The sequence below is a fragment of the Homo sapiens genome, chromosome 2, assembly GCF_000001405.40.
Source record: "Homo sapiens chromosome 2, GRCh38.p14 Primary Assembly".
NCBI lineage: Eukaryota > Metazoa > Chordata > Mammalia > Primates > Hominidae > Homo > Homo sapiens.
In genome coordinates this window covers 107557063-107573217 of record NC_000002.12, presented here as the reverse complement: position 1 = coordinate 107573217, position 16155 = coordinate 107557063, and positions in this window count along the sequence as shown.

Genomic DNA, 16155 nt, shown 5'->3' with positions numbered 1-16155 from the left:
GGTGGAGGAGCAGAGTCTTCTCTAAACTCCCCCGGGGAAAGGGAGACCCCCCCCACCTTCCCCGTCTACTAAGTAGCGCGTGTTGTTCCTTGACACCTTTTGCTACCGCTGGACTACGATCCGCCTGGTAACGGGCGTCTTCCCAGACTTTGGCGTCATCACTAGACCAAGGAGCCCTCTGGTGGCCCTGTCTGGGCATAACAGAAGGCTTGCACTCTTGTCTTCTGGTCACACCTCACTATGTCCCCTCAGCTCCTATCTCTGTATGGCCTGGTTTTTCCTAGGCTATGATTATAGAGCGAGGATTATCATAATATTGGAATAAAAAGTAATTGCTACAAACTAATGATTAATGATATTCATACATAATCATATCTAAGATCTATATCTGGTATAACTATTCTTGTTTTATATTTTATTATATTGGAACAGCTCATGTCCTCTGTCTCTTGCCTCCGTGCCTGGGTGGCTTGCTGCCCACATCCCCTAAAGTCCTTCCACAAAATCTTCAAGGGCAAACTGCCTCCCACACACTTTCCATGTTCCAGTTTTAGAGAATATATTTATTTTTAGTCATTCAGGCCATTTTAACATTTGAGGATACTGTGCCTGTGGCCAACAGTGGGCTTTGTGAACTGCATGCAGGGCGCAGAGGCCAAGATGAGGCTGTGTGTTAGGCTGGCACACCTTTAAATTTAAAATAGAAAGGCACTCTTTTTCTGTCAAAAGTGTGTGTAGCGTTATGGGCAGCCCAGCACCTCGTCCTGGCTCCACATCTGCTAAGCGTGTGCCCGGGAGCTTGTGTCCTGTTTTCTCTCAGCAACGTGGGACACCTGTAGGATTTTAAACACAGGGTCAGGGGCTGGGAGTCAACATCTCAGGATCACCTCCTCCAGTTCAGGGAGAGAAAGCAGGGAGAGCCTGTTCCAGAAAGCCCCACACATTTTATCTACAGTTCCTTTCCTTTACATCACTCCTAAATCATAACCAGTGACATTCTGCCCCACTTTCTCCTACCCACAAGACTCCTCTCAGCAAGGTTTTTGCTGCAGTTGCTTTTGGAGAGAGGCAAGTCTCTGTATCGGAGGACAGCCAAAGCTGCCTGCATGAGGAGCGCCTACAGGACTGTCTCAGGTCTTTTGTTCAGAGCAAAGAAGAATCCAGTTAGCCATAGTAAACCGATGCAAATATTCTTAAGGAGTGTAGTCATTCAGGCTAATGTTTCAGAGTTAAGTGGGTAGAAGAGATTTTAAAACCTATTAACAGGAGCTTGACCTTGAGTATGTTCTGCAATAGAAAACACAATCAAATTAAGACCCAATACCTTAAGAACTCCTTCAGTAACCCCTCTTAGAAGGATTCAGTGTTTTATTGTTAATGACAGGAAACTTCTAGAAATCAAACAACCTTGACGTGAGGCTAGAAGCATTCCAAAGTGAATATGTGTATTTTTTATACTTCAGGAAGCTTTTGTCTGAGGAACATATCTTAAAATCTTATAAAATAGAATGTCCTTACATTTTCTTATTAATTATGCCTGCAGTTTTAAAAGCTTAACAACTGAAGTTTTGAAGTGGCATTTAAAAAACTTTTAATGCTGCCTCCTTAGCAAACTGATTTTTTCAAGTTTATCTTTATGAAAGGCCTGAAAAGAATGATATAACCATGGAGGCTGCCGGCCTTACTAAAAGCTGACCGTTACCTTTTTGTTTATTAAAGCAGGTACTTATGGTTAAAATTTAAGAAGCAAGATCATGCTTATAGCATGTCACTCTCCAATTTACTTATAATAAATAATCTTGATCTGATCAGTGTTCCCATTTCTACAAGTGTGCCCCGGACACTGCTTGTCCAAGCATGGTAAGGCATAGGATTTGGCTATTGCCCAGGAAGCCTGTCCCTCTGCCCACCCTCACACCATGCTCTGCAAGAAGGCACTATAGATGCTGGGGCATAAAAAGAAATATATTTGGTCTTTGTCCAGGGTTCTTGGTACAGATCTCCTACAACCCTTGGAATTTCCTGAGTGACAGGAAAGTCTAATTATTCCTAAGGTTCCCCTTTGGATCACACCTGAGGTGTGATGTTATAATTTATACTAATAGTGTGACTCAGAGTTGGGCCCCTAAATTGCCTCAGGATAAGGCTGGTCACCAGAATGAGCCAGAAGTTTCAGCCCCACCCATTTACCTCCAGGAAGGAGCAGAAGGCTGGCGATTAAACTATCAAAATTACTGAATAACAAGATTTGAAGAGCTTTCAAATAGGTGAACACAGTTACTTGCTAGGAGAGTGGGCCACCCCAACTCCACAAGGACAGAAGCTCTTGTGCCCAGGTCTTTTCTGGACCTTACCCTATATACCTGTTTATCTGTATCCTTTTTCATAAATCAGTAAAATGTCTTTCTGAGTTTTGTGAGACACTCTAGTAAATGATCAAAACTGAGCAAGGGATTATGGGAATCCCGATATATAGTCAGTCATTCAGAAGTGTGAGTGGCCAGGTACTTGTGACTAGCATGTGAAACAGAGTCAGACATCTGGGAATGGAGCCCTTCAACCTGTGGAGTTTGATGTGTATTCTGGGTAGTGTCCAGATTGAACACATCGTTGGATATTCAGTTGGTGCCTGGAGGGATGGGGACTTGCTTGTTGGTGTCAGAAGGCACCCCACAGAAGCAATGCCACTTTGACGTGAAATCAAGTAGACCTGGAAACTTTGGGGAAAAGATACCTTGTGAGTAGGGCCACCGAGCAATCCTGACAGATATGGATTCTTTCAACAGAATGGGCTCCCCAGCGGTGAACCATGTGGACACTCACAGCACCATCCGGGAGAAGGGCCCTCCATGCTGCAAGAGAAAGCCCACAGCCCGTAACTCGGGATCTGCAATGCAACTGTCTTCTTCTTCCTTAACTTAGATCTTCTCCTTGTCCTCTAGTTTCCAACATATTTTTAAGTGTTTCTACCAGGAATTTTAAACAAGTTTTCTTTACTCTGCCAAAGGTTTCACAGCGGCCTTTTAGACTCAAATAGTACTTTCAGTTGTGTGTGCTGAAAAGTGGTTGACTTTTTATTTATGTATGTACACATATTATTTTATGTATATATTTATTTTCATTTTTTAGAGTTACATATTTTTATAATTCTATTTATACAAATTTATTTTATTCTATTGTATTTCACGTTTTTAGAGCATCTGCCCTTGGCCTACGTATTTGATGCAGTGAAACAGCTCCCCCAACCCCTGCCCACAGCAACTGACCACTAATGGGTGGTTCATTCACTTTACAGATTCTTGTGGGGAAAGAACTGCCAGACCTTTTAAACACAATTAAGCAGAATAGTTGAAAAATCTTTTTAACACTATTCACTAGCTTTTGCTTACTTTTACTCACTACTATTTGGCCTGTGACCCAGCAGGAGATCTTTTAAGTCAAAACACTTAGTTAGCTTTCTCTAGGGAAGGCGCTAACCTGAAAGGGGTCAAATATAGCCTGGGAAAGGGCAGCTCAGCTTAGCACCAATTTACAAAGTAGTGTTGCTTATCTTCAGCACAGAGGAGCCTGCATGATCCAGGCAGAGGGAGTCTGAGACAGAACACAGCATGAACACAGCACATTAGGGAAACAGGGCAAGGTCAAGTGCACAAAGAAGGGGCATATAGGACACCAGCCCAGGAGGATCTAGCATGGGGAATGACCCTGTGAGGGCAGAAAGTCTCCCTCGGTAAGAAGCTGGCACTTTGCTTTTTACTCTCTGGGCTTTTGTGGGGCTGCAGGCCCTGGATTTGGAGACTGTCCATAACTTGAATCCTGGGTCCTGCAAGGATTCTACAAGGGCAGGCATCAGGGGCTGGTAGGAAGGCATGATGCAATGTTGAAGGGAAAGGATGGCAGCCTGTGGGAAGGAGAGAGGCAAGGCACCCATCTGGAGGATAGTGTTAAAAAGAGAATTACTCTTTCGCCTGAGACTCCGGATTGTGGGTCTTCACATATCCCCTCCTCTCAGAATCAGGATGGCAAAGTAGCCACTTCCAGGGACATTTGCTGTTGGAAAAGGAAACTGGGATGGCCAGGGGAACCCCAAGTGAACAGTGTCCTTACCTTGAGTTTGCCAGGAAGCTGAGTGAGATTGTCCTCTTCCAGACAAGTTTGTCTACCCCATGCCCCAGAACACAGCCTGTGTGGTGTCTTACCAGTTCCAAGGGATGCTGTGGACACACGCAGCACTGGATTTAGTTCTACATAAGGAGCATTCTACTTAAACTGCACCAGAAACTAGAAGCTACTCATGTCTTTTAACCCAAAGGCCTTTGGATAAGGATGAAAGTACCACTTGGAATTCCCCATTATGTTTTTACCATCCAGCTTCATGTCTTGTCCTCCCTTACTCATGGATGCTACATAAAACCAGGACCCAGCCCTAGGTCCCTGCACACACTCTGCTTTATGGTTGCCAAGAGAGCAAAGGAGAACTAAAAGGTGTCACAGAGAGGCCAGCCACTGTGTAAGTTCTAGGATCACTGAGTGGCATGCTTAACCTAGGAAAATCATCTTTTCTTGCTACCAGGAGAAATGAGACAGGCTTATTGATACCACTACCCTAAGCTCACCCACAGTCCCCGGGGAGTACATATTTAATGTCACTGTGGAATTTAGGGGTAAGTGGTGCCAGCCCCCAGGGCCACACACAATGCATTTATGCACCTGTGAAAACTAAGTACCTTGATGACTTAGAAACAACCCACAAGCTAAGGGGCTCTCCTGAGAACTGGTGCTACCCATCCACCATGACTCATTTTTCACCATGATCTTTGTTGTTTCCAGAATGGAGATCTGTAGTCTAATTGCCTGGAAGACTCACACCCTCACTTTGATTTGGGATGCTGTGGCTAGCATTGTCTGCCTTATTTGAGCTTCTACTATTAAAGACACCCTTATTTCACCTACTTATCCAAGTCATGTTCATTCCAGAGTGTGGAGTAGCTACTCCATTATCATGAAAGTCACTGCATAATGAATCTGGCCCCACATTTCTTCCAAGGAGATACACTGGCACTCTAAATCCAAAAACAAAGGTTCTACATGAGTACAGAGTATTACATTGTGTCAGGGTTTCATCACCACCTCAGTCACTGTGGCGGAGAGGGAGCTCTGATTATTCCAAAATAAATAAGTCAAGAAACTGGATGCTGAGATGACACTTTAAAACACATTTTGTGTTTTGTTCTAACAAAGATTTGGGTGCTTTGCATTATCTTGAAGTGACTATGGATATTACCAGGAGTGTTGATGAAGGACAATACACCATCAAAAGTGATATTTATGAAACTAATGATATTGTAGAATCCCTGTGAAAGTGATATTTGTGAAACTAATGATATTGTAGAGTGCCTGTGAAAGTGTGCTTAAAAATATATATATATATATATATGTGTCCAGGAACTAATAGAACACTAAGTACATAATACATGTTGAATAACTATCCTCTCAAAGTATGAAAGAATATCAAATGTAAAGAAGACATGCTAAAATAAAAATAATTGCCTTATGTCCTCTCTTAGAATATTTATTTGACTCTCAAATTAGAGTGGCTAATTTCAGGCCATGTTGATTGGATACTGTAGGTTTATTGTTATAAACATCAGCCAAAGTCCTTCCCATTCCCTATGCAATCCTGCTACCCAATTCTTTCTTAAACATTAATCCTCACCTAATCTATTATAGAGAAAACAGGGACTGTAAATTCACTCAGTTTGTCATATCCTTATCTGCTCACTTCCAAATAGATCTACATGACCCATTCTTACCACCCTCTATCCTATCTTAGAGAGTTTTCTCCACCTGTCAATCATAAATTGCAATTATGATACCTGATTATGCTCTGGAAATCGCTCAGTCCATCAGTTATTCATTTTGCTTCCCATGTCTCTACTTTCCATCACCTCTGGTTTTTCTTTATATTACAAGCTTATTTCACATCTTTAAAAAAATCACTCATGATGTGCATGTGTTTATTTTAATTGCGATCTGGTCTCTTCTTTTAATAGCTAAAATTATTCAAAGGATTTGGTATATTGACTGATTCCAATGTTTCAACATCTATTGATTTCTGAAAACATGGAATTTTGGTGCTTCCTCTCAACACTACAGGAATGACTTTTGCAAAGCTCTCCGCTGACTTCTATGAGACTTAACAGCATGAACATGTTCAATCATTATTCATAGCCTTTTTGCATATTTGAAGCTGTTAATCCTCCTATCTTTGACCTTTTTTAGATGTTGTGACATCATTTTTTTCTTTTTCCTTTCCTCCAAGTCTCCATCATCTTCCTGAAAATTCGCATTTATCTCTCCAGGGTTCCATCATCCACTCTTTTCTGTAGCTCCTTAGTCATCTCTTCTACTCTCTGGCTTTAAATACCACTTATATACTAATGGCTCTTAAAGCTGTGTCTCTACCTCTATTCTATCTCTTGTGCCAAATTTATAGCTCAAAATCCATTGGTATAAAAGTGAATCTATTCCATCTCACCATTTCGATCCCCAATAACAAAAATTCGTTTGCTCCCTGTGTTGACTAATGTTACAATCATCTATCCAGCTCTTCTGTTTGTACACAGCTAGTCAGGCGTCAGTCTCTATCTTTTCAAGATCCTAAATGTTATTCAAATCGTTCTTCATTCTCATTTTCTCTGCCTGGCCAATTCCTCATCTACTCTTGCCTAGACCATAGTAAAACAAGTCTTCTAACCGATCTCCTGTAGTTAACATTTTGCACTGCCATTGGCCACACCACTGCCATAGGATTCTTTCTGAAACCCATATCTGATTACACTGTCTCTTTTGGATGGCTTTTTTTTTTTTTTTTTTTTGATGGAGTCTTGGTCTGTCGCCAGGCTGGAGTGCAGTGGCACCATCTTAGCTCACTGCAACCTTTGCCTCCCAGTTTCAAACAATTCTCCTGCCTCAGCCTCCCAAGTAGCTGGGACTACAGGCACATGCCACCATGCCCAGCTAATTTTTGTATTTTTAGTAGAGACAAGGTTTCACCATGTTGGCCAGGCCAGGATGGTCTCCATCTCTTGACCTCGTGATCCACCCGCCTCAGCCTCCCAAAGTGCTGGGAATACAGGTGTGAGCCACCGCGCCTGGCCCCTCGATGGCTTTTTAAAAGAGCAGAAGCAAAAGGCAGCACCTGCACTGGCAGCCTGGATGACCCTTCTCTCCACAGAATGTCAATTAATGTGTTTTAAAGAGTTGTTTTGAGTTGGGAAAGGGGTGAATTCCTTTTTCTGTCTTTACAACATATCTACTTAGTTGGAGATTTGGTTTTAATCACTGATGTTAGAAACCCCTTTCCCCAGTTCCTCCTCCCAGGGTGCTCACCAGCCTGCCCACTCCCTTCCCCAGTTATAAATATTCCATTAGTCTCATGATTCTGCCTCCTGAGTTATAATCTGAACCTACTAATGGCAGGACAAGGTGGCTCATGCCTGTAATCCCAGCAGTTTGGCAGGTTCCGGTGGGTAGATAGTTTGGGGCCAGGAATTTGAGACCAGTTTGGGCAATATGTTGTCCATTGAGCAAGACTCCATCTCTACAAAAAATTAAAATAAAAAGTTAGTTGTGCATGGTGGCATGCACCTATAGTCCTATCTACTCAGGAGCCTGAAGCAGGAAGACCATGTGAGCCTAGGAGTTGGAGGCTGTAGTGTGCTATGATTATGCCACTGCACTCCAGCCTGGGTGACAGAGTAAAACTTTGTCCCTAAAAGACAAAAACTTAATTAAAATTATATGTGTGTATATATATATATTTATATATTTTTATATATTATATATATATTTTTATTTTTTATTTAAAATATTTTTATTTTATATATGTATATATTATATATATTTTTATTTATATATACTTTATAGATTTATATTATATATATATATTTTACATGCCTATTCCCCAACTTAGTAGGTACTGATAAATGCAAAAGGAAAGAATGGATTGCTAAAAGTTGTCACTGATATTAAAAATCACTGTATCACTGTATGTATTTAAATCACTAATGTATTTTCTGATAACCTGGAATAAATTCAGCCTCTTTTATGAAAGCAATAAAGTATAAAATCAATTATTGTCTTGGATACTGCCAAACTCCCTAAAGAAGACTAAAGTGTGGGATAGTTAATATGTAAAAGGAGCTAACTACAAAACAATGGATACTATAATTTTAATTTTGTAAAACTAAATAACACAGAGTGTGTATTTATGAGTGGGTGACAAAAACAATATAAACAAGTTGTTGAAAATAATTATCTTTGGGTGATTGGGTTATGATGATTTTATTTTATTGTTTTGCTGTTTTCTCTAAATGTTCTGCAAAGCTGTAGTAATTACATATTCTGTAAAAAACACAATAAGTGCAAAAGAAGACTTGACTAGAATACTTGAACATGTTTTCTTGATAGCAGTGGTTATCTATGAGTGATGGGGTTGTGAATAATTTATATTCTCATCTTTATAATTATTTTGGTTGTATATCGTTTATTGTTTATACATGAGCTATTGATAATTAAAATATATTTTATCATATAATTTTAAATTAAAGACATTAAATGTTATTTTCATATGAAAAGTTAAAAGGGTGCTCTCCAGGATTTCATTGAAAGCTAATTCTGTGCTAGTAGGACTATCCAAATTGCTAACCGTTTTCCCCATAGTCTTAGAATTTTCCCTCCAAATCAATCACTGGAAAAAAGCTGAGGAATGAAAGAAAAGGCACTGAAAATGGTGAATGCATGGCTGGCTGTAGAATGTAAGTAGCCATGAGACCGCACTGGGTATATAATAGCTACCTTCTCAGGTGCACCATATTCTTGCTGTGCAATAATGCCTCAAGGCTGACTTCTGGAAACTGGAAACTGCTCAGCTGGCTGTTGTATGACTGACATTCACCCGTCATTGACCCCTTTTTATCTGCCTCACAGGAGGCACAGAGAAGTGGCTCGTGGTTTTTCCCCAGGCTGGGATTTCTTCCTTATCTAAGCAAAGCAAGATTGGATGTAGGAGATGAGGCTATATCTCAGTGTCACTCCTCCCAAGAAGAAGAAGCAGTGCTTTCTGCCTTGTGCCCAGTGACCCAAGAAACAAATCACATCCATTCTGCCCATGGTGCCCTTTTCTCCTTATTGCTTTCAGGCATGGCAGAACACCTTCAGATTCACACATAAATCTTTTCTAGGTCTAAAACACTGAAAAGTGATTCCCCATGATGGGTTATCTGTGGCATATTGTCAATCTAGCCAAACTTCTCCATATCACGTAGCATGCAGATGGGCTATCACCCCAAGAGCTGAATTGTTGAGTGATCAAGGAATGCAAATCAATCTTAGTGTTCAGCTTTAAAACATAACTAGAAAGTTGAATTGGAAATTCATCAGTATATATGAACATTATATATTCATAGCATAACGTTCCTTGTGCAACAGCATCAGGAAATTTACCTGCCTATATAGATTCATTTTCTTATAACTGAAGACAAACACATTATGAGCATGAAAACTTTATCTTAAGCATTTTTTATTGATTTTTCCCTCAAAACACAATACCCTGTTACAATAGGACACAGGGAGAATGTTAACCATTTAATGGACATAAAAGCATCATTGTCAGCTTTGATTTATGGACTAAGTTCTAAAGCATTGTACCTCCTTCACAGACTATTGAAAGAAAGAAATTTCACTTACTGTCACCACAGGCTTTAAAGTTTCCTGAGCTGTGTATGTGGCTGATGTGAAACAGTGATAACTCCAACTACCACTAAGGGGATGCATTAGAGACCACCCCCGGACACATTGCTATTTTGAGTCAGTGCTAACTGGGGTGACCAGCTGTCCTGGTTTGCCACTACTTTTGATTTCCTGGAATACAATTCTTTCAGTGCCAAGACTGAATTTTTCCCAGGAAAACAGGGATAAGTAGTCACTCTCATGTTCACCAATGGGGCACAGTAATGCTCATAGGTATGACACAGGTACCCAGTGCTATTAGCTCCAATGTGCAGAGCTGTGATCGTTGATTGCTTTCTGTTACTTAGTTAATTTTGTCTTTTTCTTTCATAGGCAGTGCTCTTTTCCTCAACTATGATTTCTTGCCCTGCCAGGACTAGCAGCTTCACTCACCGTTTTCTCTCCTAACCACTTTCACTTCCACTGTCCCTCCTTTCTGCTCTTGCTTTGCTTTTTCCATCTTCTCTTCCCTGTCACTTCTCCACACACCCCTTTTTGTTATTTGCTTGCACTTCTTATTTCCATCCATACCATTTGTCCTGCCTGTCTCATCCTTCCCTGAAGGGTGACTTAATTGTATATCCTCTTTCTGCCAGTGAGATTCCTTCTCTCTTAACTTAGAGAAACTAATATGTATGTCGAATGCTGGGCTACTTTTGGCTTTCTTGCTATTTTCAGCCACACTCAATGTCCAAAGGATCTTTATTAATTAATTTTCCAAGGGTGTTGCTGCTCTAGTGATTGAGATTCTCCAAATAAGGGCATTCTCCAAATGCCAAGTTTTCACAAGTCACTGTAAGGGTTAAACAGAAAAGTGGACTCTTCATTAAGTAAGTTTGGGAAATAAGAAATTAAGCACATGGAAATGGACGTTTTATGGAAAGGTCTCTCAGACCCTGGGGTGTCCATTATGAGTCACCATCATGAATCTTGAAATTTCCTGATGTGCAGTTATGAAAGGTTGCATAGATCATCCCAGGATGCCCCTCACCACACTGTTGCTGAAGCTCAGGGGTATGATGGCATTTTTTCTGGAAGTTGGCAGTAAAGTGACTGAGGAAGTAGTGCCTTTTGCTAAATTACACAAAGTGTTTGAGCCCGTGATGGATGGATTGCAAGCAAGGTTTTCCAAATTCCTTTATCCAAGGGATGTCTCATGGGAGCAGTGTTCTGGGTACAACAGTTTGGAAAAGGGGGTATTGTACACGTCAAAGCATATGTAAAGCATTTCTTTTATTATTTGATCACTGTTACGATCTCATTCTTTAGTGGTTGATTATGTATTTTATAGAAAAAGTATAGCACAGGGAGAATGCCACATATCCTTTCGAGTAGCCACAGGCATGAGATGACACAATTCTCAATTATTTCCTATCCATTATGTGCCCTCAATTTTTCTATTAATTACTATTTAAATTTAGATGACCAAGCAGCTTTAAATGCAGGCAACATGGACAGTTGGTGTTACATATACTAACCCGTCTTCCAGGCTCTGCGAGCACAAGATCTATATTATTGACTGTGGAGAGTTCTTCAAAGTACCCTATAGCATTGTGTTTAAAACCCAGTGCTTTAAAACCCTTAACTCTGTTTAGTCAAGAGATTTCCCTCCTCTGTGTTCTAAGACAGTATTTTTTTTTTAGACAAAGTCTTGCTGTGTTGCCCAGGTTGGAGTGCCATAGTGTGATCTCGGCTCACTGCAAGTACTGCCTCCCGGGTTCAGATGATTCTCCCACCTTATCATCCCTAGTAGCTGGGACTACAGATGCCTGCCACCATGCCAAGCTAATTTTTGTATTTTCGGTAGAGACAGGGTTTCATCATGTTGGCCAGGCTGGTCTCAAACTCCTGACTTCCGGTGATCTACCCGCCTCAGCCTCCCAAAGTGCTGGGATTACGTGCATGAGCCACTGCACCCAGCCTAAGACAGTATTATTTCTAAAGAGATAAGTTTCTCCTTTCCTTGGGCTTTCCAAACTTGGTTTGTTATGGAATAATAAATTAATAGTTTAATGTTTCATACTTCATTATAACATGTGGAATTGTTCATTTTGAAAACACAAGCATGATATATTTTGCTTCCTTTCAAATTTACTTCCTCTGTGCCCAGAATCTGTAAAATGTCATCCTTTCTACTATACAGTAGCACTTCAGGACACTTTTTATACTTAAGGAAAAAATATTTGCTTTTTACTGAAACAAAAAAATATTTTGAAAGAATATTTATTAATCTCATTCTGAAATGATTTGAGAATAGTTCTGCCAGCTATAGAGAGTTGGGTTAGTTTTCATATCCAGATTTCTCTAGTTTCATTGTTTTATGATAAAGTGCTTGGGAAAACTTGGGAAGAAACTATTATATACAATTTGTTTGTAAATTTAGTATGAATTTATAACTATTATAAGGAAGCTTATCTCTTTAGAAATAATACTGTCTTAGAACACACAGGAAGAAAATCTCTTGGCTAAACAGAGTTAAGGTGTATGGAATAGATGGGTCATCAATATTTCATAAGGTGCTTTTCATATTTGGAGCTCCAAGTGCTTTATAAATATTAGCACAATATTACAGTATCTCTCTTGGGCAAGAAAGTGGCAAATGCAATTCAATAATCCATTCACAATTTGGAAAACTGAACCACTTAGCATCTTCTTTTTTGACTCTTTGTTGAGAAAAATTATCTGCAGAGATGAGCATTGGACAGAAAGTTAGGAACAGGTCCATGAGAATCTAATGAAAGATTCAAAAGAAGGAGGATGCACACGCTTACAGGAGAGTGATACCTCTTCAGGAAGGCCCTAAGTGATGGTCATGGGGAGCTTCCTAAAATGCGGCAACTGAATCTTACCACAAAAGTGTGAGTCAGTAGGTCTAGGATATAGCCCAGTAATGGGTGGCAATGAAGCAAGCTTTGCATGTAATTTTCCATGACCCCAAAGCTTGAAAACCACTACTGTAGAGAAAGGGGCCACTGGGCATGGTGCTTATGTTCGGTGATAAATTTGGAGAATGAGCACATGACATGACCTTGCAGCAGAGCCACAGCGAAGGGACTTCCCTGAGCTATCTGAGGCAAGACTGGGGCAAGTTTTTTTGCACAGCCATTACTTTCCCTTCATTTGTGAAGGAGAACAAGGTCAAGAACAAAGAGAGGAGACTGCTGAGGATGCTTCTAAGGCTAGAGATCAGCATGGTTTTCATTTTAACACAGCCCTGGGAAGAAAATGGGCAAACACACCACCACTGCTATGAGTCTGTGGTGCTGTAGGAAGGTTAGCCCCAGTGAAGTGGCTACACCGTCTGGTGTATATAACCTGGGGTTCATTGTCATGCACCGAGAAAGAATTCAGGACATGAACACATGTGAATAGGTTAAGGACTGGAAAGTTTAATAGACAGAAGAAAGGCGAGAGGAGTGCAGTTCCTTGTGAAAGACAGAGAGATGTCCCAAAAAAGGGAGGCAGTGGACTGCAGCAGATTTTATAGGCAGGCTGGAGAAGGTGTTGTCTGATTTACATAGGGCTCACAGATTGGTTCGATCAGTGTGACATCTACATAGTGCGTGGGGGAAGTCTGGTTCCCCCACCCTAGCTTTCTTATGCAAATGGGCTTTCCAACTGATCAGCACCATCTTGTCTGCTCCTTTACAGTATGCGTGGCTGGCAAAGAAGGGAAGATGGTGCCACCATTTTCAAAATGTCTAGTCCTTACTTCCTGTTGGCATTCACCCATGCAAGCTCCCAGATTGCAGGCTTCACTTTGTTAGAAAATGACTTGGGGCTGCTTTTCACTAAAAAGAAAAGCCTTACCAAGAACTCCCATACCCTTTCTATCTGCCTACGTAATTCCTTCTTAACTACTATATTCAGGGAAGCCTTCCTGAAGATGTGAGTCCCCCTGAGGAATGGGGATTCTTCAACCTCAGGTGTGTCCCCTGCCAGTTTGTGCTTTTCCCAGCAGAAATTATCCAGCATTTAGGCATTACACAGACTGCATGAATGAGTCAGATGTCCAAATGGGAATCTTCCTGAAGCTCTTACAGCCCAAAAACACGACAAGCATGCCACACACTCCCACCATCTAAAACATAGGCTGTGTTAGTCTATTTTGAGTTGCTATATTGGAAGACCTGAGACTGAGTAATTTATGAAGACGAAAGGTTTAATTGACTCACATTTCTACAGCCTGTATAGGAAGCATGGTGCTGGCATCTGCTTCTGGTGAGGCCTCAGGAAGCTTCTACTTATGGTGGAAGGTGAATGGGGAGCCAGCATGCTACATGTGAAAGTGGGCACGAAAGAGAAGCGAGAGTTTCCAGCTCTTTTAATCAACCAAATCTCCTGTGAACTGTGAAGTCATTCAAGCCATTTATGAGGGATCTGCCTCATGATCCAAATACTTCCCACCAGACCCCACATCCAACACTGGGGATCACATTTCAACATGAGATTTGGACAAACATTCAAACCATCACAGGCCTTGTAAAAACAAATTACCAAAAATGGGATTTGTGACCCTAGGCCTCACATGTAGTTAAAAGAGTAAACCTGAGGGCCTTTTGTAGACAGTCCTTGGAGGGTTGTGTCTCAGCCAAGGGAGGCAGGTTTCATTGTGAGACCTTGACCCAGGTCTCTCAAAGTCCCTGGAGCACTCCAGCGGGGACATGGGGACAGGGGCCATGGCTGGAGGAGCCTCAGGGGAGTGCTCTATGGCCAGAACTGCTTCACCGATGCAGCACTGCCTGGGGCACTGTTGAGGCCTTTTTCTCCCAGGGTCTGCTCAGGCCATTCAAGGTCTCAGCTGAGAGTGAGGAAGAATCCTATTATAACCTTCTTACGATATGCATTTAAATGCAAACAGCCTTGTGAGGTATAGAGCTGTGAACCTATAGAAATGAACCCTTAATGACTCAAGAGTGTGGGATTGTCTTGCGGAACCTGCCGCTCAGCTCAATAACTGCAGACTTGGCCTGAGCTTAGGGCCTCACTGGCTCTTTGTTTCATTGTATATAAAATGAGGCACCTTGGGTTAAGTTTTTGACTCTCAATGTTTGTTGGCAAACCAGTACTGTGATAATAACCTGAGGGTGGGGCTTGGTAATCAAGGACTTAAAAATCTCTCCAGTTGGCTTTGGGTACCTGGAAGGTAAACAGCCCTAAGGCTACTTCCCACACTCAAATTCTATCAATTCTTTTATCAGACCACCTTCCCAATCAACAGATTATGCAGAGCATGGCCCTGAGAGGGACAGGACACAGGCTGGGAAGGTCTGGTTAGTGGGGGTGAATCTGAGCACAGCCCTCACAAGTTAGGGTAGGTGTGAGGGTGGTGCCAGAGGCAGGTGTGGTTAGAGTTGAGCAGGAAAAGTTACCTCTGTCTCTCCAGGACCACATGTTTGGTAGTGTTTAGAAAAAAAAATCATGGAAATAAGGTGGTACCATAAAGTTTTGAGAGAAAAGAACATACTTTGTCTCAGCTATGCTGTACTTGAAGCACCAGCAAGGTATCCAGAAAAAAAATTACCTTTTTTTTTTTTCTGAGATATTTTCTTGCTCTGTTACACAGGCTGGAGTGCACTGGCATGATCTCGGCTCAGCGCAACCTCCACCCGCCTCCCCAGTTCAACTGCTTCTCATGTCTCAGCCTCTTGAGTAGCTGGGATTACAAGCATGCACCACCATGCCCAGCTAATTTTTATACTATTAGTAGAGACAGGGTTTTGCCATGTTGGCTAGACTGGTCTCAAACTCCTGACTTCAAGTGATCTGCTCACCTCAGCCTCCCAAAGTGCTGAGATTACAAGCCTGAGCTACTGTGCCTGGCCAAGACATTACTTTTGAAAGGCTTAATCTGCTGGTTAAAGATTGCACATTGAGGCACAAAATGTCCTAAATAAGTCTGGGGAGGTGTCTAGGGAGTTGACATGGAGCTTTATCCTGTGCCCACCAGAGACTAATCCAAGTTATAAAGGCTATATTTTCAGTGCAACAAATATTTATTGAGTTCCTGCTATATGTGAGAGACAGACCAGCTGTGGGGTAGTCTGGCCCTGCCCTCAGTAAGCTGACAATCTGGTGGATGATACAGCTGTACAGGGTGTAGGAGCATCATTGTACTGTTGCAATGGCTATAATCTAAATGCAATGGTGAAGAGAAGGCTGTAACCCAGCCTGCAGAGGGCCAGAGGGTCTTCTGTGCTGTTGTTGCTTTTCTTCCCTTTTTGTCATGGTCTTTGATGTGCATGTCTCTCAAGCTTTTGACTCTCAAAGTTTGTTGACAAACCAGTTTGGGTGCTAACAAAATGATCAAGAACTTCAGGACCAGCTCACACCACGAGTCTTACAAGAGAAGTTTTGCATTTC